The following is a 26,057-nucleotide window of genomic DNA, read 5'->3' as shown; positions in this document are numbered from 1 at the left end:
TGGTAAATGTTAGGTATTATAGTTCTACAAGTGTTTTAATGTGCATTCTCCTCAGAGAGTGGCGCTGTGATGCAGAGTCTCACCAAAGACTAAGAGTCCCAGAGCACACTGCTTCCTGAGAAGAGGTTTTTAGGAGAGTGGAGGCCCATTGCAGACTCTTTAGGGCATTGCGTTGGAACAGGGCTTCTTAAACTTGAATGTGCCTTGGGAGCCCCTGGGGTCTTGGTGAACTGCAGATTCTGTCTGTAGGTCTGGGGTGGGTCTGGCTTTCTGCATTTCTAACAAGTTCCGTGATGATGCTGATGCTGCTTGTCCAGGGGGACCACAGTTTGAGTAGCAAGGGCCCAGGGAATGTAGATTTCACCTAATGATGACAGGTTTAATGCTGATTGCAAAAGAAAGAAATATGCCACTTGCCTGTGCCTTTTTCTCATTTTTAAGCTAGTCTGACCTCGTTTCTAAGCTATTGCTAAAGTTTATAAATCACTGGAATAGTTTATCAAACCTGGAATAAAATCTTGATACTGAAATGTGAATGTTTTCCACAAATTGTTCCCTTTCCATGCTAGGAAGTGGTGTCACTCTAACCGTATTACAAATCAGCTCATTACCAAGGACAGCTCTGTGGCAGCTCACCAACTACCAACTACCTTATAGTTGCCTACTCATTCTTCATCCTCTCTCTTCCTTACTAACGACACCCCAATTTTATTTGAGGCAGGAGTGTGTTAACATACCTTATTCCCCAGGCCCTCTTGCTGAAAGGAATGGCCAATAAGATGGAAGGTAAAGTCATTAGGTAGGACTTCCAGAAAAGGTTTTTAAAGAGAATTTATTCAGCTGGCAGGTAAATTTCCTCTTCCTGGTATTTCCTCTTACTTTCTGCGTGGAACACATCCATAATGGCAGGAGCTTCAGCAGCTATCTTGGAATGTGGGGCAACATCAAGAATGGAAGCCACATGATAAGGATGGTGGGGCCGAAAAATAGAGCTACACATTGATGGTGTCACTACCACACACGCTCTTTTCTGCTTCATTCCAGACTGCCTTTACATTTTAAAAAATCCCGATTTGTTTCAGCCACTATTATTTGAGTTTTTGGTTATGTGAAGACTGTTAGACCTAATGCTAACTGACACCACCAGAGCAGATGCAGATTAGCAAGGCAGATATGGGTTTAAATCTATGTCTAAAACCATCATCTTTCTGACTGCCCTTTCTGGGATTCACTAGTGGTATAGGGTCAAGGGAACTGGATTGAGAGTTCTTTGCTCATCTCTGCTACTAACTGTGTGACTGTTTTTTCTTGGCCTCAGCCCCTTCATCTGTAAAACGGGGATGAGAGATGAAAGTGACCAGCACAGTGCTGGGGTGCAAAACTCATTCCGCTGGTGCTGGGGGCAGGGGTGTCTCAGGATGATGGTGTGGGGATGTGATGCAGTGGCCAGTGCTAATGCAGCAAGGAGGGGCCCCGTGGGGTGAAGCTTGGGTGCTGGCAGCAGTGCAGCTTCTAGTCCTTGCTTGCTTTAAAAAAATTCTTTTTGAGATAGGGTCTCACTGTGTCACCCAGGCTGGAGTGCAATGGTGTAATCACAGCTCACTGCAGCCTCGAGCTCCTGGGCTCAGGTGATCCTCCCACCTCAGCTTCCCCGGTAGCTGGTAGCTGGGACTACAGACACATGCCCAGCTAGTTTTTTGCATTTTTTGTAGAGATGGGGTTTCGTCATGTTGCCCAGGCTGGTCTCGAACTCCTGGGTTCAAGAGATTCACCCACCTCGGCCTCCCAAAATGCTGAGATTACAGGCATGAGCCACTGCACCCCACCTTCTAGTGCTTTCTTTAGGGGTGTCCCCCCTTGGTGTGCTGAGGGCAGCAGAGCACCTTCCTCTGTTGTGACCAGAAGGTTTGGACTAAGTGACCCTTTTAGCATGAATGGCCTTTGGTTTTGTTGGGAGGGAGCTGGGGGCAGCACAAGCAGCTTTCCACTGGGCTCAAGAAACCTGCCTTGGCGTCTTCCTCCACCTAGGCATGATGCTGAGGCCGGGGAGGCAGCCCAGGCAGCATCTTGCCTCCCCGCACAGCTTTGCTGCTGAAATCTAAGTGACTCTACCCCGCTACTTGCTCTGAGCCAGCCGAATGTCCGGTCAAAAAAAGAGCATTTGTGCTGTCCTGTTGACTGGGGCCTATAGTAAGATTGAAACCACAGCAGAACTGTGCACACCTCTGCTGTCCAAATCAGAGATGCTTTTTGCTTCTAATATCACTCAACTACTCTCCAAACCTGAAGCTGTCACTCTTTGTCCTTCCCCTCCTCCCCACTCCAATCAGTTACGTTCGGCACCTGCAGGGTTTCCGCTCATGCATAGCTAGCTGATTCCTGGAGGGCAAAAACCATGTCTTTACAGTGAACTAAAAATATCAAGAGACGCACTTACCTCCCCGCACAGAGGGGGGTCACTAGGGAGACCTGAACTAGGATGGCTCAATTGGAGCCTCTCACTGTTTGGCCCAGTGGGTCTCCGTTTTTCTGCCCAGCTGCTGGACAGCCTGAAACATGCCTGCCTTTCCTTACTGTGGCCGGTTCCTGGATTTTAAAATTGGGTATGATTGAAATAAGGTCGTCTGGGTGTGCATGTTACACGCAAGTTAAATTTCCCTGTTCGAGTTTTGTCCTACAAAAGGCAGTCAGCCCTGTGTGTTCTTTCTGGTCTTCTTATTTTAAAAAAATAATTGTAACTAAATTTTTGATGGAAAAGGAACATGTGCCAATAGAGGGGAAAGGCAGCCAGGACAAAAGGGTCTACAGTGACCGGTGGCTGTTCTCCGTGTCCCAGCCCCAAGGACCCTTCCTCAGCACCAACTCCTGGAGTCTAACAATGAGCGTGTTATTTCAGGTACTTTTCTAGGAAGAAAGAGGGGATTTGTCCTGCCTGCTTTGGGGCTGTCATCACCAAGTCAGTGAGATGGAATTGAGGAAAACCCAAGGTGGCTCAGCTGCCACAGGGGCTCCTGCCATGATTGCGTGGATGCTGACGAGCGGGCTGGGGGCATGGGGGAGTGGGGCTCGCCCAGGTGACAGCTCATATTCTAATGGTGGCTTGGAAAATGTCCCCACCACCCCAGCGACAACGCAGCACACAGTCTGAACAAAGCCAGCCTCTTGCCAGATGGCATTTTTGCTATTTTAACCCCAGGGCCTTGCAGAGCCGGTACGCTGGGGCTTCAGTGAGGCGGCCAAGGCCTTCCAGGAGGCTCAGGTGTTGAGCCATAAAGCCCCAGATGTGCTTCATGCATGACGGCCTCGGTCGCACAGTGGCAGGCCTGCCACACTGCGGGGACTGGCCACAGGGTTGCTGCGTGAGACCAAAGCCTTTACTCTGATGCCGTCCCTGGTCAGGACTGTCTGAGATAAGAAGTTCAATCCATGTGTGAAGTGTTTTTTTACCTGTGTAGCTGAAGACTGGCTTGTCCTCTTCTGGGTGGGGGCTCTGAATGGACCCCAGGACCATGGACCCCAGGGACCCCCCTGCCACACTGGACAAGGTGTCAGTGACCACTCCAGGTTGGTGATTGGTGATTAAGGAACAGACAGCATTTTCCTCCCTCCCTCTACCATTTCTCTTTCTCGTTTTTGTTTTGTTTTGTTTTGTTGATTAAAGGTAGAACAGCAATGGTATCTCCACATAGGAAACACCAAGCCTTTGTGACCACATGAGCCGCAGCGTCTTCATCATGGATGAGGAGGGGAACCAGTTCTGGAATTCTGGCTCAGGGTAGATGCATCTTAACGGAAGAAGAATTAGTCAATTCTGTTTCCGTGGTTTACTCTTCCTGTCTCCTGCAGATGAATTCATTAGTTTAATTAATGAGAGCCCTTTGCCTTCCTCTGCAGTGTTGCCCATGGAAATAGTGGATGATCATGGCTCCCTATTATGAAATGTGGAGAGCATTATTTGATTAGGAGCAGAACCCTTTTCCCCCCCAGAAAATAGCCTCTAGGTAAGGGACTGGACGCTCACACACGATGAAGTGTCTGGTGTTCTTCTCTCTCATTAGGTAGCATGCCCTTCTCTTCCTGCCTTTGCAACAGCTCTAGGTAGGACCCACACTGTACAAGTGCCTCATTCGTGACTTCTGCTTCCCTTGCAGGAAGGCATAAATGTTGGCTGACTGTCAAATGCTTGTGGGAGGTCCCCACGGAGTGGAGAAGCGGGAGACTCAGCTTAATCACAGACAAAGTTGTGCATGAGAGGTGAGAGGGAGGAGCTGGAAGCCGGGGCTTGGAGGCAGTCCATGATCTTTCCGTCTGTGATCCTCAGTGTCAGAAAACTATGTAATCACTCAAGACAGGCAAATGGGATAACTGGATGGATGCTGAGGAAGTGTGAACTCAAGAAGGTAGAGGGAAAGCCACGACACGTCAGCGTAGCAGGGAGGTTAAGGGCATTGCCTTAGAGTCAGGCAGACCTGGGTTTGGAAGCCCCTCCGCCACTTACCATCTGTGTGACTTTGCCCACGTTGTTGTTTGGGGACCTGAGTTTCCTCATCGGTGACCAAGGTGTCGTAAGGGTTAAAGAAAATGGTGCATGAAGATGGCCTAACAGAGTGCCTGGGGTACGGTAAGTGTTTACTGTGTGGGAGCTGTTAGTGGTGCTGTTGGTAGGGATCAAGTGACCAGGTAGCCAGAGTTAGAAATCAGGGCCGCCACCTGCCAGGTGTCAGAAGAGACAGCTATTTGTTCATACTTTTTTTTTCTTTGTATGCTTCTCATTGAGTTCCAAGGTTGCCTACATGAGACCTCTCTTGGACTCCTTTCAGGAAAGCTTAGTTGCTCAGTGCCCGAGGGCCCTTGTTAAACCCTGATTGTCCCTGAGGTGGTCACCACAACATGGCCACATCAATAGCATCCCTCACAGGACTCCCAGGTCACACGCACCAGAAGGGTCTGCTTGGGAAGCCTGAGCAGAGTGATGTAGCAGGGGACAGGAGGTGAGGCTGGCGGAAGTGAGCAAGGGCCACACTGTCACTACGGATGCCACACTGCAGAGTGGGGCTTGATGGGTAAGACAGTGGAGGCAGGTACCAAGAGGGAGGGTGGGGTGAGCCCATCTGAGTTGGGAGACATGACTCTCATGGCAGGACTGGATGCTGAGGCCACAGGCAGAAAGATCATGGCTGCCGTCATCCAGGTGGGAGAACCTTTTTCAAAAATTAGTATATCTGTATTTTATTTTATTATTTATTTATGTTTCAATAGCTTTTGGGGTACAAGTGGCTTTTTATTATTTTTTGGAGACAGAGTTTTGCTCTTGTTGCCCAGGCTGGAGTGCAGTGGCACGATCTCAGCTCACTGTAACCTCTCCCTCCCGGGTTCAAGTGATTCTCCTGCCTCAGCCTCCCAAGTAGCTGGGATTACAGGCACCCACCACCACACACAGCTAATTTTTTCTATTTTTAGTAGAGATGGGGTTTCACCATGTTGGCGAAGCTGGTCTCGAACTCCTGACCTCAGGTGAGCCACCTGCCTCGGCCTCCCAAAGTGTTGGGATTACAGGTGTGAGCCACTGTGTCCGGCCTCACAAGTGACTTTTTGTTACATGGATAAAATATATAGTAGTTTATTCTGAGATGTTAGTGCTCCCATCACCTGAGTAGTGTACATTGTACCTAATGTGTAATTTTTCATTCCTACCCTCCTCCCACCCTCCCCCTTCTGAGTCCCCAAAGTCCATTATCTCATTTTTAGGCCTTTGTGTCCTCATAGCTTAGCTCCCACTTATGAGTGAGAACATACGATACTTGGTTTTCCACTCCTGTGTTGCTTCACTTAGAATAATGGCCTCTAGCTCCATCCAAGTTGCAGGACACTCTACGATACCCTGCTGCTTTTTAGAAAACCTGGGCCAGGGGCTTGGGACAGATCTGAGCTACAGCCATAGACAGGGAGTCATCTGAAGCCACACCCGTGGAGGAGATCACTTAGGACCTGTGGAGAGTGAGCCAGGGAGCGTTTGCCGAGTCAAACAAGTCAAACGTGTCCTTTGGCTTAACAGGTTAAGTAGCTACATCCGCAGAGCACCCTCAAACCTGCGATGCTGTAGGGGACAAAGCATTGTGTCGTAGACATCACCCATCAAGACCCAAGAGCACTCCAGGGTGTTTTGCCCAAGGGCAGGGAGAGGCAGAAGGATGTCAGATAACCTGATTGATGGCGGCTTCGGGATGAGGCCCCATGAAGGCACTTGGGAGGGTAGGTCCCAGGGCCACCCAGCTCTCCAGGAGGGCAGTGCATGGCAGGGAGGGACTGCAGGGACAGATGGCAGATTTGTGGTGACCTGAAGGAGAGGAATCTAAACTGTTAGAGACAGGCCTCAGCCGGACTTGCTTTAAAGTTAACTCTTTCTTAATAACTAAGTTGAATGTTTTAAAAATGCCAGTATTCCCAAATCATGGACAAGTTGATGCTCCAAAGAATATTAGGAACATCTAATTCACTGTCTCTGTTTTCCATATGAGGAAATTGAGGCCCAGATAAACAGATGCGATAGACACACCAGGCTGCCCCTTCCTGCAGAGAGAGAATGTGTAGCCACAACCTTTGTTTCCTTGGGAAAGGGCTCCCTCCGTAGCAGGATTATGGCCAGTTTCCTTCCCTCTTGCCAGGCAGTCTGCTAGGAGTTTTATCAAAGCTGTTTCTTTCTTGTCCTTTCACTGCCCTAAAACTTGCAATCAAGTTCTCAGATTAATTTATCAAAAGTCAGAGAGCGGCCGGGCGCAGTGGCTCACGCCTGTAATCCTAGCACATTGGGAGACCGAGGCGGGCAGATCACGAGGTCAGGAGTTCAAGACCTGCCTGACCAACATGGTGAAACCCTCTCTCTACTAAAATACAAAAGTTAGCCAGGCGTGGTGGTGGGCACCTGTAATCTCAGCTGCTCAAGAGGCTGAGGCAGGAGAATCGCTTGAACCCAGGAGGCAGAGGTTGCAGTGAGCTGAGATCATTCCACGGCACTCCAGCCTAGGAGACAGAGCAAGACTGTGTCTCAAAAAAAAAAAAAAAAAGCTCTGCAAGGACAGAAAGAAAGAGAAACTGATGGATTTTTGAAATATGAAAACCTTTTTGTAAAGTACTTGCCCCTTCTGTCATAGCCACTGCTGCTCCAGGGGCCCCCTGGCTGCACAGGTGAGAGCTCTGGGCACAGATACTCTGATGCAAATACTGCAGGACCTGAACATCCAGGAGGGCTTCACTGCTGCTTCCCAGCAAAGATATGAGCAGTACATGGGGGCACTCAGAGATCTCAGGCAAAGGAGAGGTGGCTCCCTTTGGGGATTCTTCTCCCAGCCTTTGAGACTCAGAAGTGGGATTCCTGGACCAGCAGCATCAGCAGGCCCTGAGAGCTTATTAGAAATGCAGACTCCCAGGCCCTGTTCAGACCTGCTGGCTCAGTACTTGCATGTTAACGAGACCCCCAGGTGATTCCTAGGCAAGGTGGTTTGAGCAGCACGGCACGAGGTTGCCCTTTACCAGAACAGCCTTTCTACGCTGCTGGACGAAGGATATGCTACCCAGCAACGTCCCCCACCTAAAATGCAGCCCCTCTGCTTCCGCTGAAAGCCTTCAAAGACAAGTAGTAACCAGAAGGTTATGCAATGCAGTTCTTTGCTTTATACATCAAATACTCAGGCTTCTCAAGAACGGAGATAGAGGCCAGGCACGGTGGCTCACACCTGTAATCTCAGCATTTTGGGAGGCCGAGGAGGGTGGATCGCCTGAGGCCAGGAGTTTGAGACCAGCCTGGCCAACATGGTGAAACCCTGTTTCTACTAAAAATAAAATGCAAAAAAAAAAAAAAAAAAAATAGCCAGGTGTGGTGGTGCACACCTCTAGTCACAGCTACCCGGGAGGCTGAGGCAGTAGAATCACTTGAACCAGGGAGGCGGAGGTTGCAGTGAGCCAAGATCTCCAGCCTTCCCAGATCGTTAAAAGGACAGTTGACATTTTAGATATTCTTATAAAAATGTTGAGGAAGGCCGGACGCAGTGGCTCACGCCTGTGATCCCAGCACTTTGGGAGGCTGAGGTGGGCGGATAATGAGGTCAAGACCAAGACCATCCTGACAAACATGGTGAAACCCCATCTCTACTAAAAATACAAAAATTAGCCAGGCATGGTGGCGCGTGCCTGTAATACCAGCTACTTGGGAGGCTGAGGCAGGAGAATCTCTTGAACCCAGGAGGCGGAGGTTGCAGTGAGCCAGGATTGCGCCACTGCACTCCAGCCTGGCGACGGAGCAAGACTCAGTCTCAAAAAAAAAAAAAAGTTGAGGAAAAAAATCCTAGTACACAAAAGTCTTCTAGAAAGTTAATGTATGTGCTACAATACTTCCTTCCCCCAATAATACCAGAGGAGACATGCGGTTGTCCCGTATGTCCACTCACTCTCACTATGTATTTTGCAGATGAGCTGACCTCTCCCATTCCTGCAACCTCCCTTTCCCAGTCAAAGCATTTTTGGTGGTTTCTGCTGCTGGTTGATAACAAAACACACAAGAGTCAAGAATTTTTTTTTTTTTTTTTTTACTTTTTTTTGGTTTGTTTTTAAAGAAACTGCATACATCATCAGAGACAAACAATAATTTAAATACCATGCAGTTTCTGTATGTACAAAACCTAGGCCACAGAGATCCAGTTTAATTTGTATTCTCTATTTACATCGTTTTCCTCATACAGCCATCATCTGTTAAATTAGAACCTGGGAGATTAGGGGATTGACGGTCACCACACTCACTCCTATACAAAGACAAACTATGTACAGACACCCAGGAAGCAACTGGAAAATGCAACCGGTCTGGGGATTAACAGACAGATAGGGAGAAAAAGTCATTTAAGGTGACCTTTGCCCACCGGCTGTGCACAGGGAGAGCCTGAAATTCCATTCATCAAAGCAACACACCACGATTTTCATTCGGCAAATAAAAATACATGTTCATAAGCGGGAGAAAAATAAACCCAGAGCTTTTCATCACATGTACCGTCACATTGTTTGGTTTCTCTAATCTGACATAAAGGCTAAAGTTTTAAAAGTTTTACAGTGCTTTGAGGGCCTTTAGAGATGAATATATCAGCCATTTAAAAAAAGCTAGTTGGCTGATGGCGGTCTCTTCTGTCACTGATTGATTGGGGGCGGGGGCAGGGTTGGGCAATGTCTAATCTTTAGAAGGAAGCATTTGATTTGAGACATTTCACATTTTTCCTCTCACGCTAATCCAAATGAAAAAAATGCTCAACTGGGAATTTACACACATAAAATAAACTTTGACTTGCCAGCTACAGCTTTTTCAAAAAAGAGATGCATTTTAAGTCATCTAGCTCACCTTTTTATTTTTTCCCTTAATTAATGTCAAATTGTCATCTTGGAAAGTAACACAAATTGCTGCAGTTGTCATGACATTGTAGTGAAAAAAAAAAAAAAAGAAAATTGAATAGGTCTCTAGAAAGACCTTAAGGTTTTAAGAAAGGAAAGAGACAGCAGAAGGCCCATCCTGCAGGCCACAGAGGTTGCTGAGCCTGTGTAAGAGCCACTTAAAACGGGCTTGAAATAGCCCATCCTGAAGGCGCAGGACCTGTCAATGGCAGGGGAGGTGCACCCCTCAGTCTGAGCAAGTGACTGCTGGAAAGGAGGCCCTGCAGGAAGAGCAGTGGAAATTGTGTTCAATATCTTCCATGCACAAAGTGGACTGCAACATGAGGGCACTTTGGGCGGAAACCCTGGGCTGTCTGCTGGCTGGCTGCAGGGAGATCCGCTTGGGCCTTATATCCCCAGGGAATCTGAAGGGCCAAGAACTAAGGCCAGCAGAGAAGCCATGGGCCTATCATGGGAGGAGTCCGGTCAATGGAATGAATTTCCTTAGGACTCGCTCCTGGCCAGGGAGGACCATCATGCCAGGGCACCGCGTGTGCCAGGAGCCCAGCTGCAGTTAGAGGAAGTTCAGACTCAAAGCCTGGCCGGCAGGCAAGTCCACCTGGAACACGTGTCCGCCCGCCCGCCGTAGAGAAGTTCAACGAAAGAGCCCTACATCTTTCGTCATACCATTTGCACATTCAAACGTCAGTAAGCCTTTCGGGAAGACTGTGTTTACAGCCACACTAAAATCCCGATCACATTTTCCCTGAACAATACCTCTCCCCACGGCAGGAACTATTCAGATTCAAGAGTTAAAAAAAAAAAAAAAAAATAGGATCTAGTGATGGCATCCTCCTTGGGTCGGGCAGAGGCGTGCTGGCTCCAGGTGGCAAGGCAAAGCTGCAGCTGGAGGCACCGCCCAAAGAGCTGCCCTGAACTCTCCCCAGCAGTTGTTTGGCTCCTGGGTTAGTGCCTAGATGGGAGCCGTTCATGCCTGCAAAAAAATGCAATGGCCTCGTTGACGGGTGTGCATCCTAAGAGTAACCTGCTCCCACAGGGTTTGTGGTGGGGAGACGACTGGTTAACTTTTTGGAAAGGCCAAGCTGGCGTCTTTCTAAATGGCATGTGTGGTGGAGAGTTCCACCACCTAGAAAGACTGGAGTAACGATGGAGTCACTCCAGAAGGTGAGAGAGCTCTGCAACTGAGGGCCTGCGAGCTCTGTTATGAAGGAAATCGAAAGCTGCAATGGGCCTCGTTAGGATGCTGTTAGGGTTTAGGAGGGTCCTGGCCTCATCGCACACCCTATCCTGGGTGTCCCAGTCAGAGACACACCCACAGTCACGCTCCCTGGCATCATGAGGGTAGAGGGAGGAGCTCTCTGGATCAACTGGAGCAGGAAGGGGCACTGTGGACAGGTGTGGCTGGTGTTGGCCTGATTCTGGCACATGCCCAACTCTGGGGCTCCTTCACAGAAACTCTTCAGTGCAAAAAAAAAAAAAAAAAAAAAAAAAAAAAAAAAAAAGAGAAGGCCATGGAGTGGTTCCAAGTCCCTCAGTGGCTGGAAAGCCAGTCCTACAGGAGTGGTTTCTGGCCTGCATGCACTGGTCCTATACACAGAAGCTAAGAACTCCCAAGCCATATAATCAGCTTCAAGGCGCACAGAGAAAATAAATGTCAGCCAAGCAGTTTCTGACCCCACAGGATTCAATAGGGTCCTCCCACTCAGACTTATAAACAGCACAGGAGTACCTTAGCAATGGCTGTGTGTGTGCGTGGGTCACTCATGACACTGGACACTCTGGACACAGTTGGGTTGATTATTTGAACTGAGCATATGACATCTTTCCCCTTCTAAACCAGAGCTTCCTGAAAGGCAGCTCAGCTCAGGCAGAGGGAGCAGGATGGGTGCTCAGTGCCAGCCTTCGTAGCCAAGAGGCAGCCAGACTCCCCCAGAAATGGGCCCTTCCCTTTTGTTCATTGTGTGGGTGGTGGCTGAAAGGAGGGAAAAGCCAGGGGCAACTGAGAAGTGTTCACTCCTTCTTGGCATCAACTTCAAAGGGCCCCCAAACCAAATGTCATGTCTGGAGCCAGTACATTTGGCCAAGTGTAGAAGTCCAACCAGATCATTAGCTTTGCACAGTACCCCCAAAACAAACCCACCCCTTCAGCTTTCTTTGGACTCAGATGACAGACACTTGTGAGGAAGAGGTTTGCTGGAGACTTCATGAAGGTAGTGCCTGCTGGGCCTGGCTGGAGAGGACAAGGACCGTTCCACCTGCCAGACAGTCTTCAGTCAGGGCCCTGCTGGTGCCCTTGGCACTGCCGGGGGTTGGGATGCATTTTGGTGTCAGAAGTGGGACCAGCAGCTCGGACCGCCGAGCCATCACTTTTGCGTTTTCACACATAAAATCCTGATTGTGTTTCCTTGATTTTTCTTCTTTTTAAAAAAAAGGCAGTTCAGAAGATTTACATCGTAATGGGGAAGTGAATAAATACCAGCACTTATGGTTCTTATAAATTTATGTTTTGAAGACAGCATAGCACTCAAGAGGAATTCGACTGTTAAGGTCGGTGAAACCTAAGGAAACAAACAATTACATCAAGACCAAGGGGCTGCCAAAGGTGCAGGATTCAACAGTCCAATCTCCCATCTTCAGGGAGGTTCTTGACCGTGAGAGGGAGGTGCGAGCTTCCCACCGTCATCCCCACAGGAGTACCACTGAACACACACCTGGCTTTGAAAGTTTCATCTGGGGCAGCCCTGGTGGCCTCCACCTCCTGCCATCAGCCTGGATCCAGCAGCAAGGTGCAGAACCCAATCTGTGTCTCTGAGTCTCTAGACTAAATACTTGCTATATCCTATTTCTCTAAATGTTCCCCCCAAAAGAAAGTCAGAATTAAATCAATGGCTCTGTTGCTAACTAGCAATGCAACCTTATATAATCCTCTTAATCACTCCATGCCTCGGTTTTCCCAAATATCATCATGATGCTGGACTGTCAGGGAGAATGTCAGGGAATAACAGAAGTGGTCCACTTTGGAAGTCCCGTGTGGATGTGGTATTTTGTTCAGGTTTGGCCTCTGCTGACTGGTTGCAAATTGGCAACAATCTTTTCTCCTTGACCTAAGTTTTCACAAAAACCCACCTTGGGGTCGTTGGTAGTCTGGTGCTTATCAGACCTTTAGTTTAAATGAGTGAAACTCAGACTTTGCAGAAAGTTGGTTTTAGCCCGGGCCATCTGTGTTCCACTTCCTCGTTTCAGTAACCTAAAGTGGAACCGCATGCCTGCCTTCCTACTATCTTCCCTCTCATGGCACCCTCCAACCCACTCATGTCCCACAAGTGGGAGAGCTTTATTTGGAGATAAATATTGCAACTTGAGGGAAAAAAAGGAAAAAAAAAACCCTTAATACTAACCTTGTTAAGTGTCTACTCAATTCATGAACTTCCATCTCAGTGCTTTTGAATTCATTGAGCTCCTTTCGGATGGCAGCCTGGAATCAACAGAAGCCCATCAATGTGCAATGGGAGAGAGACAGAAAAAAACTCCCCTTTCAGTTCATTCCTAACAACATATTTTTCTTCTTCAACAAAGACAAACAAGTTTAAGATGGATTCTTTCATTGGGAGGAAGAAAAATCACCTGAGATGTCCTTTAAAACAAAGATTCCCCTCCTTCCCTAAATCTAAGTTGCAAATGATGACAGGCTATTGCCCAAAGTGTGTTTTTCTTCCTCTTTTCATAGAGCTGTGGCATTGAGGCATCAGTGGTGGTGTACACCTACCCCACACTCCTGGGGGCCCAAGAACACATTCAATGTCAACCTCTCATCTTCCATAAATAAACAAAGCTCAGCACAGGCACAGTGATGCCTCGAGGTGGAGACTTCCAGAAGGCGTGGATCAAATTCTCCAACCAAATTAGGGGGACAGGTGATGGCCAGCTCCCTACCAACAGTTTGTTTTTGCTCTTTTACAACTTCCCTGACTCTTCAGTGATGTATTTCACCATGTGAGATACATTTTGAATAACCTCACATGTTCTGAGATGATCCCGAATCACCCCATCCTTATAATACTGCCACTGAAGACACAGGGCCTGGAATCAGACAGCAAAGAGAGGCCATGAGAGAGCAGGGGAGGAGGAGGGGCTGGTAAAGAAGGCAGCTGGGGCCAGAGACAACCTCACTCCTTCCTCAAGGGTGGAAATTGCAAACGTGTGCCTTCTTGCATAGCTCTGTCTATGGCCGATACTTGCTTTGATGGGAATATCAAGGCCCCAGGAGTTTGAGGAGAGAAAAGTCTTCCTGTAGGATCAGAATGGCCCTCCCCAGGAAAAGAAGGCTGGCTTAGGTTTAAGTGCCTGGGTAGCAGCTTTGGGGGTGGGGGCAGGGGTCACCCCATGCTTCCTGTCTTCTGTCCCCAACAGCCATTGAGAAACTGGATATGTTTTCGGCCTAAGAGCTACTCAGAACTCTATGAGGGTGCAAGTAGAGATGTCTGTGGTTTTCTTGCACACTTGCTAATATCCTTATCCTTGCAAGCATACCGCAGAGAGAGTGTGGACAGGAGAGGACAAGAGTGAAAGCCCCTTCCTCTTCGTATTTAGATGACACACTCCTGGGGAGCTGGGTTTGTCTGTCAGGGGCATGGCAATGCCAGTTCCTGGGTTGCTCCCACAAATTCCCTTGCAGAGAAGATGTGAATGCTGTGTTTACAGAGGAGGGCACAGTCTTCCACACATGGTGTCTGTGGGTTGACCCGCCACAGGCGAGGTCGTCTCTGGAAGTCTATCTGCCTCTTGCTGCTTCCGTCCCAGCCAAGTGCAGCAATGTGCCTGCATACATGTTTCCTGCACCTCCTGGATCCAGGGTTGGTGATAATGTAGCCAGCCTGGGCCATAAATGACTTCCTGCTGTATCATATAAGAAAACCCTGGGTCCCTGAAACGGACAGTGAAGGCAGGACTGTTGAGCAGAAGGCCCCTGACACACTCCATAGTTTCTATCGTTACCTACACATTGGGCAGAATCATTATTCCAGTATATATATATATATATACGTGTATCTATATATATATATATATATATATATATTTTTTTTTTTTTTTTTTTTTTTTTTTGAGATGGAGTTTCACTGTTGTCATCCACGCTGGAATTCAATGGTGTGACCTTGGATCACTGCAACCTCCACCTCCTGGGTTCAAGCAATTCTCCTGCCTCAGCCTCCCGAGCAGCTGGGATTACAGGTGTGTGCCATCACGCCCGGCTAATTTTGTATTTTTAGTAGAGATGGGGTTTCATCATGTTGGTCAGGCTGGTCTTGAACTCCTGACCTCAAGTGATCTACCCGCCTCGGCCTCCCAAAGTGCTGGGATTACAGGCGTGAGCCACTGTGCCTGGCGCACAGACTACATTTTTAAAAAGGCCCTTAACCCTCCAGCTCCTCATGGTGACCAGACTAGAATCAGAGAGGATTACCAAACAGAGGTTCATTCTGATACCTTGTCTGGTGGACAGAGAAAATGATTTCTCATTGGCATCACTGCTTTTCCTAAAAAACAAACTGAACCTCAGATTATTCTTTTTGTTTTCTAAATCGGCGAGGGGCTAGTGCAGTGAGATATGTTTTGCGACGTCTCTTTGATTTATGCCCTATTTCCCTCCTGGGGTTATGCGTCTACTTTGTCTTCTCTTTTGGTTTGGTGAATCCCTCGTTGGATGCCGGCAGCACCATCCCCTATACGGAAGGGCTGTGATGAGCCTGGAGCCTCTTGCCTTCACCTGTCTACACCTATCCAGTGCTATTCTCTTTCTCTGGGCACAGCCTCCCAGGCTGCTGCTCCTCCTCCTGTAAAATGGGCACAGTATTATGTGCCTTGTGTTTTCTCCGATTCAGCAGCCTTTCCGCAGATTATCTGTGGCCCCTGGGGAAAGGTGTTGGGGTCTCAACACTCCATTATGGGGACTGCGGCTGAGGCCTGGCTGCAGGTCTCCCTACACGCTCCCCAGCGGTGAGCCCAGCGAGACCCAGCAGACGGTCCTGCCTCCCACTCTCCAGCACTCCCCTCTGCTTACTTTGTCTGCAGCGGTGAGGCGGGTCCACGGCTTATCTGCCCTGCGGTCATAGTCCTGAGCGTCAGCCACCTCCACGTAGTCACTGAAGCGGATGAGGATCTTTCTTTCCCGAAGCTCTTCCACCGTGGGCCTTTGACTGAGCTGCAGGGAGGGAGAGAGATGGACCCAGTCAGCCAGAAGGGTTGACCATGGCACTTGGTCCTGTCTGTGAACTTGCAGGTGTGGAAAATAAGGTTCAGTGAGGCGATGGATGCATCGCATAGTGAGTGAGGGGCAGGGGCAGGGGGAGGGCCAGGGTGGGGGGACCCAAGTCTCCTGACTCTTGGGAGTGGGACGTTTCTAGGTCCTAAGAGAGAGCTTTGTTATCCCTTACATACCCTCTAGGCCAAGCTCTTTTTTTTTTTAAACTTAAAAAAAATCTTTTATTATGTAAATTTTCAAAACAAGGAAGGAGACTAATGTAATGAATTTGGTGTATTATCACCAGCTTCAACAATAATCAACTCTTGACTACATCCACATGTAGATTGCTTTGAAACAAATCACAGGCATCATATCATTTTATCTGTGTATATTTCAGTATAGAATATATAAAGATTAGGACTTCAAAGCATATTCACAGTACTGTTTTTACACCTATACAAATCGATAGTAAACAGTCTCTATCTTCATAACATTGCTGAGTCCCAGTCATTACTAGAAGCTTGTCTTTCTGTTTGGCTGTGGGCGCCTGTTGTGGATTTCTTCTTATCTGTCCTACTCCCACCAGGTGACAGGGACATTCTACAATGATTCTGTCTTATTTTGGATTTGTGAATCCACATCTGTGTCACATCGAGTGCTTTCTGCAAGGGGGTTTTGCAGTGCATTTTGTGTGGGTTTTAGATGCAAAAAAGCGTATGTGCAAATGGTATGCAAACTCTGGGGTATGCAGGGATGGGAATCTGCTGGCTGAAGAGGTCAGCCCAAACATTGCTGACGGCCCTCTGCAAGAAGTTCAAGGGGAAGGTCAGTCAACAAATGCGGAGTTGAGTAAGTACAGAAAAAGGCCACATTTATGCCAAGGGAGACTCAGGACCAGCCCTTTGGATGGTGCATGATGAAGGACTGCAGGAATGAGGGATGAAGCAAGTAAAAGGAAGATTCGTATGTATTTTGCCATCTCCCGATATTAGCCATGAAGACCCTTCCTCTACTTTAGCAACATAAGGCTGACATTTCTATTATCTCTTCCTGTCACCAGGTTTATTTCTCCTGGAGCAACACAGTTGCTCTCTTTAAGATGCTGTCAAATGATGTTCAATCAATGCTATTTAAAAGCAGTTTTCCCTTTGAGCCCTAGACTCTGTGTAATTCTATTACTAGAAGACACTATCTCATAGAATCTTGCAACTCAGGCCCGTAAAACAAACACAATGGAGTCCAAACCACCCTGGCAGTTTCGACTCTGCAACAGGCAGCTTCCAGACACCCGTGGCTAGTGCGAGAATGTTCCAACTTGCTCCCACGCTGGCAGAGCACAATTAGAGGATGGCTGGCAGGTATCAAATAGAGTGGTGGCACACCCCGGACAGGGCCAAGGCAGGCCTACAGCTCCCTCTCAGCCAAAGGCAGGAAGCTCTGGGGATCAGGGGCTCAGCCGCCTCTGGTGCCGGCCCCCCTGCCTAGACTGCATGTAGGCCTCCCTTGGCTTTCTTAGGCACGACAACATTCTGGCACCAGTGTGGGCCTGTCGCGGGAACCCACAGGCTTCCCAGGCTGTTATGGCTGTGGTCACCGTAAACAAAAACAGCAGTCATCCTGACTCCAAAACATGTTCTCCACAATGTGAGTGCAGGGAGATTTTGTGCTATAATTAAAATACATAAAGACATGCAACATTTGCCATATTTACTCCAGATAAACAGACTCCTACTCAGAATCCTGTCTGTGTTCCTCAGGACTTGCTGGGTTTACCTCAAGGGGCCAGACAAAGTGTTATTTTCTTTTCTTCATTTTTCTTTTTTTAGACGGAGTCTCACTCTGTTGCCCAGGCTGGAGTTCAATGGTGCAATGATCTCGGCTCACTGCAACCTCCGCCTCTTGGGTGCAAGTAACTCTCCTGCCTCAGCCTCCCGAGTAGCTGGGATTACAGGTATGCGCCACCTTGTCCGGCTAATTTTTGTATTTTTAATAGAGATAGGGTTTCGCCATATTGCCCAGACTGCTCTCGAACTCCTGATCTCAAATGATCCGCCGTTCTCAGCCTCCCAAAGTGCTGGGATTACAGATATGAGCCACCGAGCCCGGCCCAAAGGGTTATTTTCTGAGTGCACCCATGATGTGAGAAAAGTTGTTAAGCCCTGACTTTCAAATTTCTCTTCCTGGAAACTGACCTGGATTTTACTAATGTCCTATCTATGGCAGAGTCTGGAGTGAACCGAAGACTAAGCATAAATGCTGCAGGTCAGGGGCTGTTTCTTATGCCTGAACATCGCGGGGCCTTGGACACCGTCTTTCCAAATCAAGACAGCATAGAGCACAAGTGCTCAGAGGGAATGAGCGAGGATGCAGCTGGCTGCTGCCTCTCAGAGTCACAGTTGGTGCACGGACCCCAGCACTAACAAACGGCCACCAGGACGCTCCTCTGTGTGCATGGGCTCATGTCCCTGACCACGAAAGGCTCAGAAGACGCACCTTTGGCCTGGTGCTGGCTGTAGCCTTCGGGGCATCTGGAACCTGAAGTCCTTCCTTGAATGCTGCAAAAATAATCTTTGCAGCCAAAGTCAGGCCCGCCTCGGCCTCCCAAAGTGCTGGGATTACAGGCGTGAGCCACTGCGCCTGGCCGCAGGCATGTCTTTTTTAAAAAGACAAAGCATGTAATTTTTATATTAGTCTCAGTTTGGTCAGAGAAAATGACTGGTCTGTTGCTATCAGCCTCAGTTACTACGCTTTATTTTTTATTTTTCTTACTAGTGCATTACAGTTAAATAGAATTTTATTGAAGAAGTTATTGGGCTGAAGGCAGATCACTGTAAAGCAGCCCCCATCACTGGCATCTGGTCTCAGTGTGATAAATGCTCAAGAGGAGAAGAACCTTCACAGGGCCAGGAAGTGATGATGTAGGTTCCCTACCTGCCGGAAGGCGCCACATCTCTGCCCGCAAAAGCAGATATGGAAGTTGCCCCTCTGTTCTCCAGTCTCTCTCTTAGAAGCAGTTATCCCCTCTCAAGCTCCTTATTTCTAACCCCCCCAGCCAGTCCCAGGGGAGGGCAAATGCTAAAATTCCAAGGCCATTTCCCTGGGAGAAGAAAGGAGAGGTGAGCAGGAACAGAGAGGCAATTATTTGATTGTGGAGACCCGCAAAACCTATGAACTATTTGGGGTCCCCATCCCTAGTGTCACCTACCCTAGGGAGATGGGTGTGGAAAGGAAGACTCTTTACTCGCTCATTACCAAATCATGCAGTTAGTCAAGTTCTCCGCAAAATCATATCAACTTTGTTAAGAGATAGGAATTAAATAAATGTCTAAGTATTTCTCTGTGACCGTCTTTTAGCAAGCAACCTTAAAACTGGGTGAATTTTGGGGATCCAGCAACCAATTCTGAAAAATTTGATGAAAATCTGATTTAAACAACTTTTTTTTTTTCTAAGTGTCTAGACCTTTCTGTATCAGAAATGAAAGTTTATCACAGTGTCTTTTTCGAGCCCCAGTCATTTCAAGGACACGATGAGAAAAAGCTAATGCATCTCTCCTGCTCTTCTCACTACTCAAGCTCAGGAAAAACTGCACCCTGCATCCAAAGAGTGGGTGGGCTTAAGGATGTAAAGGGTCCAACCTTGACGGGTGGGACAGCGACTGGCTGGTGAAGTCACTTAGCTCTTGCTCTAGTCTCCACCAGGGTGACCCCAGCCAGTCGTCTGGCCATTCAGGCACTTGTTTGTCCAGCTCTTGCTAATTGGGTTGGCATTTGGCTTGTCACCAGGTATTTGGGATGCTCGCAGGGAAAGTGTGGAGAAATACAAACCATCACCTTAATAATTGGTATGATATTTCAGGATCTCTGAATTTCTTCCTTTGTGTGATATTTCTGGAGAGAAAAATCCACTAATAAACCTTTTTAAAATTAATATTAATGGGCCTCTTAACTGTAGCTAAGATATGAGAGTATCTTTCTCTCAAGATGGTCACTGTAGGAGGCTGATTAAAAACACTTTGACTTCGTCAGACAGAAGGGAGTATTGTATCTTGCATGTCATCAATTAATTAAACTTTTCAGCATCATCCAAGAATAGCCTTAACAATGCGTTTATTATTAAAGAGGACACTCATGTGGAATGAGATGCATGCGAGGCTACAGTGCATTGCCAAACCATCTATTTTTGGGGTTAAGACTATATTAAAATTCCAGTTTTATGACTTTAAGCTATGTGCTTCTCAAACATCTGCTTTAAATTTGTCAGTACTTTCGTAATTTAGCCTAATAAAGTTGCATAGTTCTTAATTCCTAGGGAAAGAATAGTGTCAGGGGGAGCAAAAAAAAAAAAAAAGTCTATACTTTCCCAGGGTCATAGCAAATAATTGTGTAATATTCGAACTAGTAATTTTTTTTTTTTTTTGAGACAGAGTCTTGCTCTGTTGCCCAGGCTGGAGTGCAGTGGCGCGATCTCGGCTCACTGCAACCTCTGCCTCCTGGGCTCAAGCAATTCTCCAACCTCAGACTCCCATGTATCTGGGACTACAGGTGCACATCACCATGCACAGCTAGTTTTTGTATATTTACTTTGACAAAGACAGCATTTTACCATGTTGCCCAGGCTGGTCTCGAACTCCTGGCTTCAAGCTATCCACTCACCTTGGCCTCCCAAAGTGCTGGGTTTATAGGCATGAACCACTGAACCTGGCCTTTGAACTACTGATTTTGATTATGAATTTCCCATTGCTTAATGGGATTATAGTGAATTTTGTAAAACAAAACATTTAGTATAATCAAAAATACAACGCAATAGCCATCGAGTTGTTAGGAAGTAGGTGGGTGTCACAAAATCAAACAACATTGAGTGTCACCAGCTGAAAGGACTGAGGGTCATGAAGCTGAGTGGAGAGGTCTTATAGAGTAAGAGAGTGGCACTCTCTGACACAGGAGGAGAGGAACCAGGCAGCGGTGAGGCCACTGAGGCCAGCAGAGGGCAGAGGTGTGGCAGGCAGCCCACCCTCTCCTGTCCCAGCTCTTGGCATGGAGAACCACCTACCTTTCGGGTTAGCCTCCTCTTGATCTCTCTCTTCTCCTCCTGTTCCTCTTGTTCATTCCGAGCTAAAAAAAATATTTAAGATGTTTTTTTATTTCAGTAAACAGTGTTGTGTACAGGTGCATCCTTTGGACCTTGGCAGGCTCTAGGCCAAGCATCTCATTTTAATAAAGGGAAGAGAGTACTCCTGTCCCCTCCCCCAGCTGCCCTTCTCCTTATGGGGATTGCTTTCCAAACTACCTGCGTTGTTTCAAATTGCTACTGAGCAGGCTGACCTTGTCATTTTGCCTTCTTTACATCACATGGGGTTTCAGGTCTCCAGGCAGAGATGCTGGGTTGAGAAATGTGGCTACAAGGCAGGAAGGTAGGTTTTTTTTTTTTTTTTGACACGGTCTCGTTCTGTCTCCCAGGCTAAAGTGCAGTGGCACAATCATAGCTTACTGTAGCCTGGAACTCCTGGGCTCAAGTGATTCTCCTACTTCGGCCTCCCAAGTAGCTAGGACTACACATGCACGCCACCACACCTGACTAATTTTAAAAATGTTTTGTTGAGATGGGGGTCTCATGATGTTGTTCAGGCCGGTCTTGAACTCCTGGCATCAAGCAATCCTCCTGCCTTGGCCTCTCAAAGTGCTGGGATTACAGGTGCAAGCCACCGCACAGCCCAAGGAGGTGGGTGGGAATGTTGACACGGGGACACACAGGCATTTGGGGAGATGTGAGGCTCCTTTCTTTGGATAAGACTGGGGCTCACTCATTCTTTGTTGAGCCTCCCAGACACTGAAGGAGGCTCATTGTGGTATAGTCCTTGTGTCTGGTGCCCTGTGGGTGTAGAGAGAGCAGAAGACTGCCCTCAACCTGCTGCAGGAACAAGACAAGGCAGGAGGAATTTCAAAACGCTCACCTTTCACAAGCCCTGATTCCATCGATTGTTTGAATCTTCCATGAAGTCCACAGAGCATGGGTGAGGCCAGAGTGTGGGATACAATTGCCTGCATGTAGACTCTTTAGGAGTGGCTCAGAAGAGTAGACTGCAGAGCCTGAAAGCTCTTGCCTTAATATATGGGTGATTTACTCATCAGATTTTTAAATAGCTGTACATGGGAGAGTCTGGGGTAGGGGGCAGATACTTGAAGGGCAGAGAATCTGGGCTTATTTCTCCTTTTAAGCTAACTGGATGACCTGGGGTAGACCATTTCCCTTCTGAACCTTGGAAGAATTCCTTGATATCTGTGGAAGCACAGATATCAGCGTAGCATTGTTGGACTTGGAAAAACTATGGAAGTCAGCTTGTATCAAAGAAGGCCTGTGATTCTCAGCCGTTAAATTTCAAATGGCGTTAGTAAAAGGAAACACGTTGATTTTGGCATAGGGTGCATCACGACTGCCTGGGACACTAGTTGGCTCATTTTGAAAATCACAGTTGTTGAATTATATTTTGGTAACTTCATTAGTTTGTTGTATTGGTGCACACATGCAATTCAGGTATGGTTGCTGATTGTCTCAGTATGGGACAGGTCTTTATTTTATTTTTTAAATTTTTTTAATTTTTTATTTTTTTGAGATGGAGTCTTGCTCTGTTGCCCAGGCTGGAGTGCAGTGGCATGATCTCGGCTCACTGCAAACTCCACCTCCCAAGTTCAAGCGATTCTCCTGCCTCAGCCTCCCGAGTAGCTGGGATTACAGGTGCCCACCACCACACCCAGCTAATTTTTGTATTTTTAGTAGAGATGGGGTTTCACCATATTGGCCAGACTGGTCTCGAACTCCTGACCTCAGGTGATCCACCCGCCTCAGCCTCCCAGAGTGCTGGGATTATAGGCGTGAGCCACCGCGCCCGGCCTTGGGACAGGTCTTTAAAGGAAGGAAACCCCCTGTGCCTAGAAAGGGGTGGGGACCATCTGATAACTGTGTCACCTTTACACTCAAGGTGACTATACCTCCCACTAGCACAAGTGGTGTAAGGTCAGAGCAGAAATCAGGCCCTTGAGGGCCACCCCCACGGGCCTGATTTGGCCCCCCAACCGCCTGTGGGCATAAGGCTTTGTAGAAAGGCAGCACAAGAAACAGCCACATCTTGCTGTGGGCTGAGGTCACCAGAGGTCCCTGCTCCAGCCTACCCTACAGTGCCTGAAACCGTCACCATGAGTGTGCTTTCCTTTGGATTTAGAGATCCTATCTCCCTCCCGGAGAGGTTTTTTTTTTTTTTAATGCAAATTTCTCTTGAATAAAAGCCCATTAAACTAGTCAGCCATTAATAGCTCAGTATGAATTAATCTAGTAGAGATAAACTGGGGGGCAGACAGCAACACCCGGAAGTAGGGAGCCCCCAGACAGTGACATTTGTACAAATGCAAATTTCAGTGGGATAAAACCTATTAAACTAGTCAGCCATTAATATCTTAGTATGAATTAATCTAGCAGAGTTAAATGGGGAGGCAGACAGCAAGAACCAGAAGGAGGGAACTCCCATTTTGCGATGTCTCAGGTGGGAAAACGGATGGAAGAAAAGGTGGTCTGGATGTTGGGTCACCAGGGACAGCTAGAGGGCACACGGTGAAAATTTACAGAAGCACAGAATACTAGGGCCATGAGGGGACCTAGTGACCACCTCGTCTACCACTCCTGGTTTATAACTGAGGATCTGAAGCCTCAGGGGTGTTAAGTGGCCAGTCACACCCTACCTGGCTCAGTGGTTACACAGATAGGTTTTTTCCTGTGGTCATGTTTTGTGTGGGGCCGGCTCTCCTCCTCATTACTAGCCTCAGACTTCTGATCCTACAGGTCCCTTCAGAGCCGTGAAGGCGGGCATCCTGTGACACAGCTGACACAGCATGGAGCCTTCATCTCCTATGTGCGTTTCTTAGGTCACTCTGAGGGGTGGGGCCACAAGCTACCACCTACAGAATTGATACCTTTAGTTCAAAGCCATTGACCAACCCAGGTTCATGAATTTTCAGGCAGAAGGTACCAAGACAACCCCATTAGGCAACTAGGAAGACAGGCCAGGAAAGGCCTACGATGTCGTCATTACAGCTGCCACCGTCAGAGGGTTCATTATGTGCTCAGAGGTGCACAGGGCCTCACTGGCTGCTGGACAGAACAGGGGCTGCTCCCAGGACCAGGCAGGGTGGGGCTGGAAACCAACCCAAGGCTCTCAAAGCTCCAGGGCTGAGCCATGGCATCTCTGTGCCCTGTTCCCCACCACCCAACACCGAGCAGTTCCTCAAATGGCTGAAAGCTCAGAAAATCAGTTTTAAAACAAACTATTGGAGGATGTTTTCTTATACCACTAGACATTTTTTTTGTTTAACAATCGCAATAGATTAAATTTAAAAAAATATTTAGGAGAACATAGTTCCAGAATACAGGGAAAAATAAGAACCTATGGGAAAACAAGTTGATTTCTGAAAAGTTTCAAAACTATGAAATGACCAACCTGTTAGAATTGGTCAAGTAGTTCTTTAATTTGCAACTATGTGGCCAGGACAAGAGGGATTAGGGAAGAGAATAAAAGAGAACCATGGGAACAATCTTTCACAACTCCTTTTTGGTCCCCTGAATCTAAGTTCCCTGGTTGATGGCGGTAAAAACCCAAGCTCAAAGGACCTGTAGTCTCCCAGGGATCTGGACAAGCCACAGCGGGGATCTGATATCTTTGAGAGAGCCCAGAGCTGAGCTAGGGGATTTTAGATCTCTCCAGAAACCGTACTCCTGGTGTGATAAGCACTATTTTCTGAAACCTAAATAATCCCCCGGAGGCTTTTAGCTTCTTTGAGTTTAGGTCTCAGGTCAGAGGCCACAAGTACAGCAGCGGGCTGTGAGTAAGTTGTACAGGTTCACCTGGCTGTTTATCTTTCTCTCCAACAATGGGAAGTTTATAATGGCTCAGGTACCAGATTGGGGCCGAAAGGAAGACATCCTACAAGCCAAATGCTTCCCTGACCTTGGAAATGCTTTGAAAAAGCTCTGAATTCATTATATAGAATATTAAGCTTGGAAACTTTAAAGGGTACCCCTTGGGCAGAAAAAAGTAAACACACATTCCTAGAGACCTAGGCAAAGCGTAGGGTTCCCCCACGACTGAGGAAGGCTAATCCTGAAAATAACTTCTACTGAGAGTTGAGGAAGTGGCGGCTGGCGTGGGGACGGGAGGCAAGACATTGATAAAGGCAGAGTTGACATAAACGGACATGCGGGGGCGTCGGGCGGGGGTGGGTGCTGTAGGCAACAGGTCTCCCCACCAAAGCGGAACCCAGCACCCACCTTCAGCAGACTACGAAATGCCGACCAAGTCACAAGGCCACAGTGAGCACGGTAGAAAGGTAAAGTCAAGAATATCTTAGTGTGGTTTCAGTGGAAATTCCCGGCAAACTCACACTGCGGTTGCATGTGATTTACTGGGCACGGGGCGGGGCGGGGCGGGGGGGCCGGGGGAGGCAAGGAGTCAGTCTGTACAACATAGCATTTCTAGAAAACTCTGCATAGTATATATCTTTCTCTTCTGGAGAGAAATTAGAAGTGTGTTGTGGGGTAGGGGGAACAGGGTCATGAATTAAGCCAGAAATATTTGTTCACTATCTTGAGGCCAGTGTTGGCGAGAATGGTAGCAATGAATGAATAGAATGGTTTGATATTTAAGTTATTTAATATCTACCACTAAACTGACGCATACTGCTGTCCATCAAATGCTTGATCTCTTTTAGTATTTTGTATCCTGTTTTCTCTTTTTTTTTTTAAAGCACCAAGTGGATCCTCTGTACATATTCAAATGTCTCTGTGTCCTAAACCAAACAAGGGGCTCATTTATTTTTTTCTGTCTGCAGCAATGGTGAAAGGCAGTTTTCCTCGAATGAGAGCATCAGACAGGCATGCCCGGGACCAGCTGTGGGAATCCTGAGAGACAGACATGAAGCACTTCACTTGGAAATGCTTTCTTAGTCTTTCAATTTAACATTCAAAGGGATGAGGGATTTTTATCAACAGCAGCCAGCTGCAATGCAAAGTCATGCTTTCTAGTCTCAGTTCAAATGGACATTTCCCTTATTTTAGCCGTGCATATCACAGTCTCCATTTTCAAGCCAATTCTGGTTTAAAGGTGACCCTGCTCTTAAAAATCATTAAATAATAAGTGGTCTCACTCTAATTTTTCAGCTTCTCTCTGACTTTACAACTCACTAAAAGGAAGGTTCTGCCTGCCGCCCGTGAGCTTCTAAAGAATAAAGTGGAATAAAATTTGCCTTCTCTTTGGGGAGGTCGTCTTTGGTGTTCTAACATGCACACATGAAGCTTCAACCGTTAGAAAGGTTTTCAATGCTTTCCGCAGAGGCGCAAGGTAGA

At 47.5% G+C, this 26,057-nt stretch overlaps 2 protein-coding genes and 1 long non-coding RNA gene across 23 annotated transcripts in view, besides 2 other annotated features; 2 read left to right on the top strand and 1 right to left on the bottom strand.

The window, feature by feature from the left end:
• Positions 1-26,057, top strand: part of TBC1D7-LOC100130357 (TBC1D7-LOC100130357 readthrough) — a 62,002-nt gene that overhangs the window by 29,488 nt on the left and 6,457 nt on the right. Inside the window, exons 6-8 of one of the 2 annotated variants that reach the window (NR_134872.2) lie at positions 4,152-4,254; positions 17,497-17,621; positions 23,502-24,201. The exons of the other annotated variant lie outside the window; for it this stretch is intronic. The gene's annotated coding sequence lies outside the window, so the exon portion shown is untranslated. Of the gene's footprint in view, positions 1-4,151; positions 4,255-17,496; positions 17,622-23,501; positions 24,202-26,057 lie in introns of those variants that run through there. 2 annotated transcript variants of the gene reach the window in all.
• Positions 3,464-25,956, top strand: LOC100130357 (uncharacterized). Of its 2 annotated transcripts, NR_160971.1 has the most exons (5): positions 3,464-3,564; positions 3,662-3,775; positions 4,152-4,254; positions 17,497-17,621; positions 17,894-19,893. It is a non-coding gene; the product is annotated as an uncharacterized LOC100130357 (long non-coding RNA). The 2 variants fall into 2 exon arrangements; NR_134859.1 differs by lacking the exons at positions 3,464-3,564; positions 3,662-3,775; positions 4,152-4,254; positions 17,894-19,893 and adding exons at positions 15,608-15,749; positions 25,544-25,956.
• Positions 11,213-26,057, bottom strand: part of PHACTR1 (phosphatase and actin regulator 1) — a 571,071-nt gene continuing 556,226 nt past the window's right edge. For 15 of the 19 annotated variants that reach the window (XM_005248934.4, NM_030948.6, XM_047418373.1 and 12 more), the window contains 4 exons: positions 20,721-20,782; positions 15,488-15,628; positions 12,828-12,904; positions 11,213-11,987 (listed from right to left, as the gene is read on the bottom strand). In XM_005248934.4, the coding sequence (XP_005248991.1) occupies positions 11,972-11,987; positions 12,828-12,904; positions 15,488-15,628; positions 20,721-20,782 (296 nt within the window). In that variant the 3' untranslated portion in view covers positions 11,213-11,971. Of the gene's footprint in view, positions 12,905-15,487; positions 15,629-20,720; positions 20,783-26,057 lie in introns of all 19 variants that reach the window. The other 4 variants (NM_001374581.2, NM_001374583.2, XM_017010459.3 and 1 more) reach the window with 2 other exon arrangements.
• Positions 20,712-20,881: an enhancer, noted in NCBI's record as "active region_24022". NCBI's record gives its function as "activates an Ori minimal core promoter by ATAC-STARR-seq in GM12878 lymphoblastoid cells {active_cell/tissue: GM12878}" and the evidence as "EXISTENCE:reporter gene assay evidence [ECO:0000049][PMID:35858748]".
• Positions 24,560-25,759: an enhancer, noted in NCBI's record as "BRD4-independent group 4 enhancer chr6:13273523-13274722 (GRCh37/hg19 assembly coordinates)". NCBI's record gives its function as "activates an origin of replication core promoter dependent on BRD2, P300/CBP, MED14 and CDK7 cofactors, and independent of BRD4, by STARR-seq in HCT116 cells {active_cell/tissue: HCT116}" and the evidence as "EXISTENCE:reporter gene assay evidence [ECO:0000049][PMID:35650434]".

The sequence above is a fragment of the Homo sapiens genome, chromosome 6 (assembly GCF_000001405.40).
Source record: "Homo sapiens chromosome 6, GRCh38.p14 Primary Assembly".
Classification (NCBI taxonomy): Eukaryota; Metazoa; Chordata; class Mammalia; order Primates; family Hominidae; genus Homo; species Homo sapiens.
This window is presented reverse-complemented; position numbering and strand designations above follow the sequence as displayed.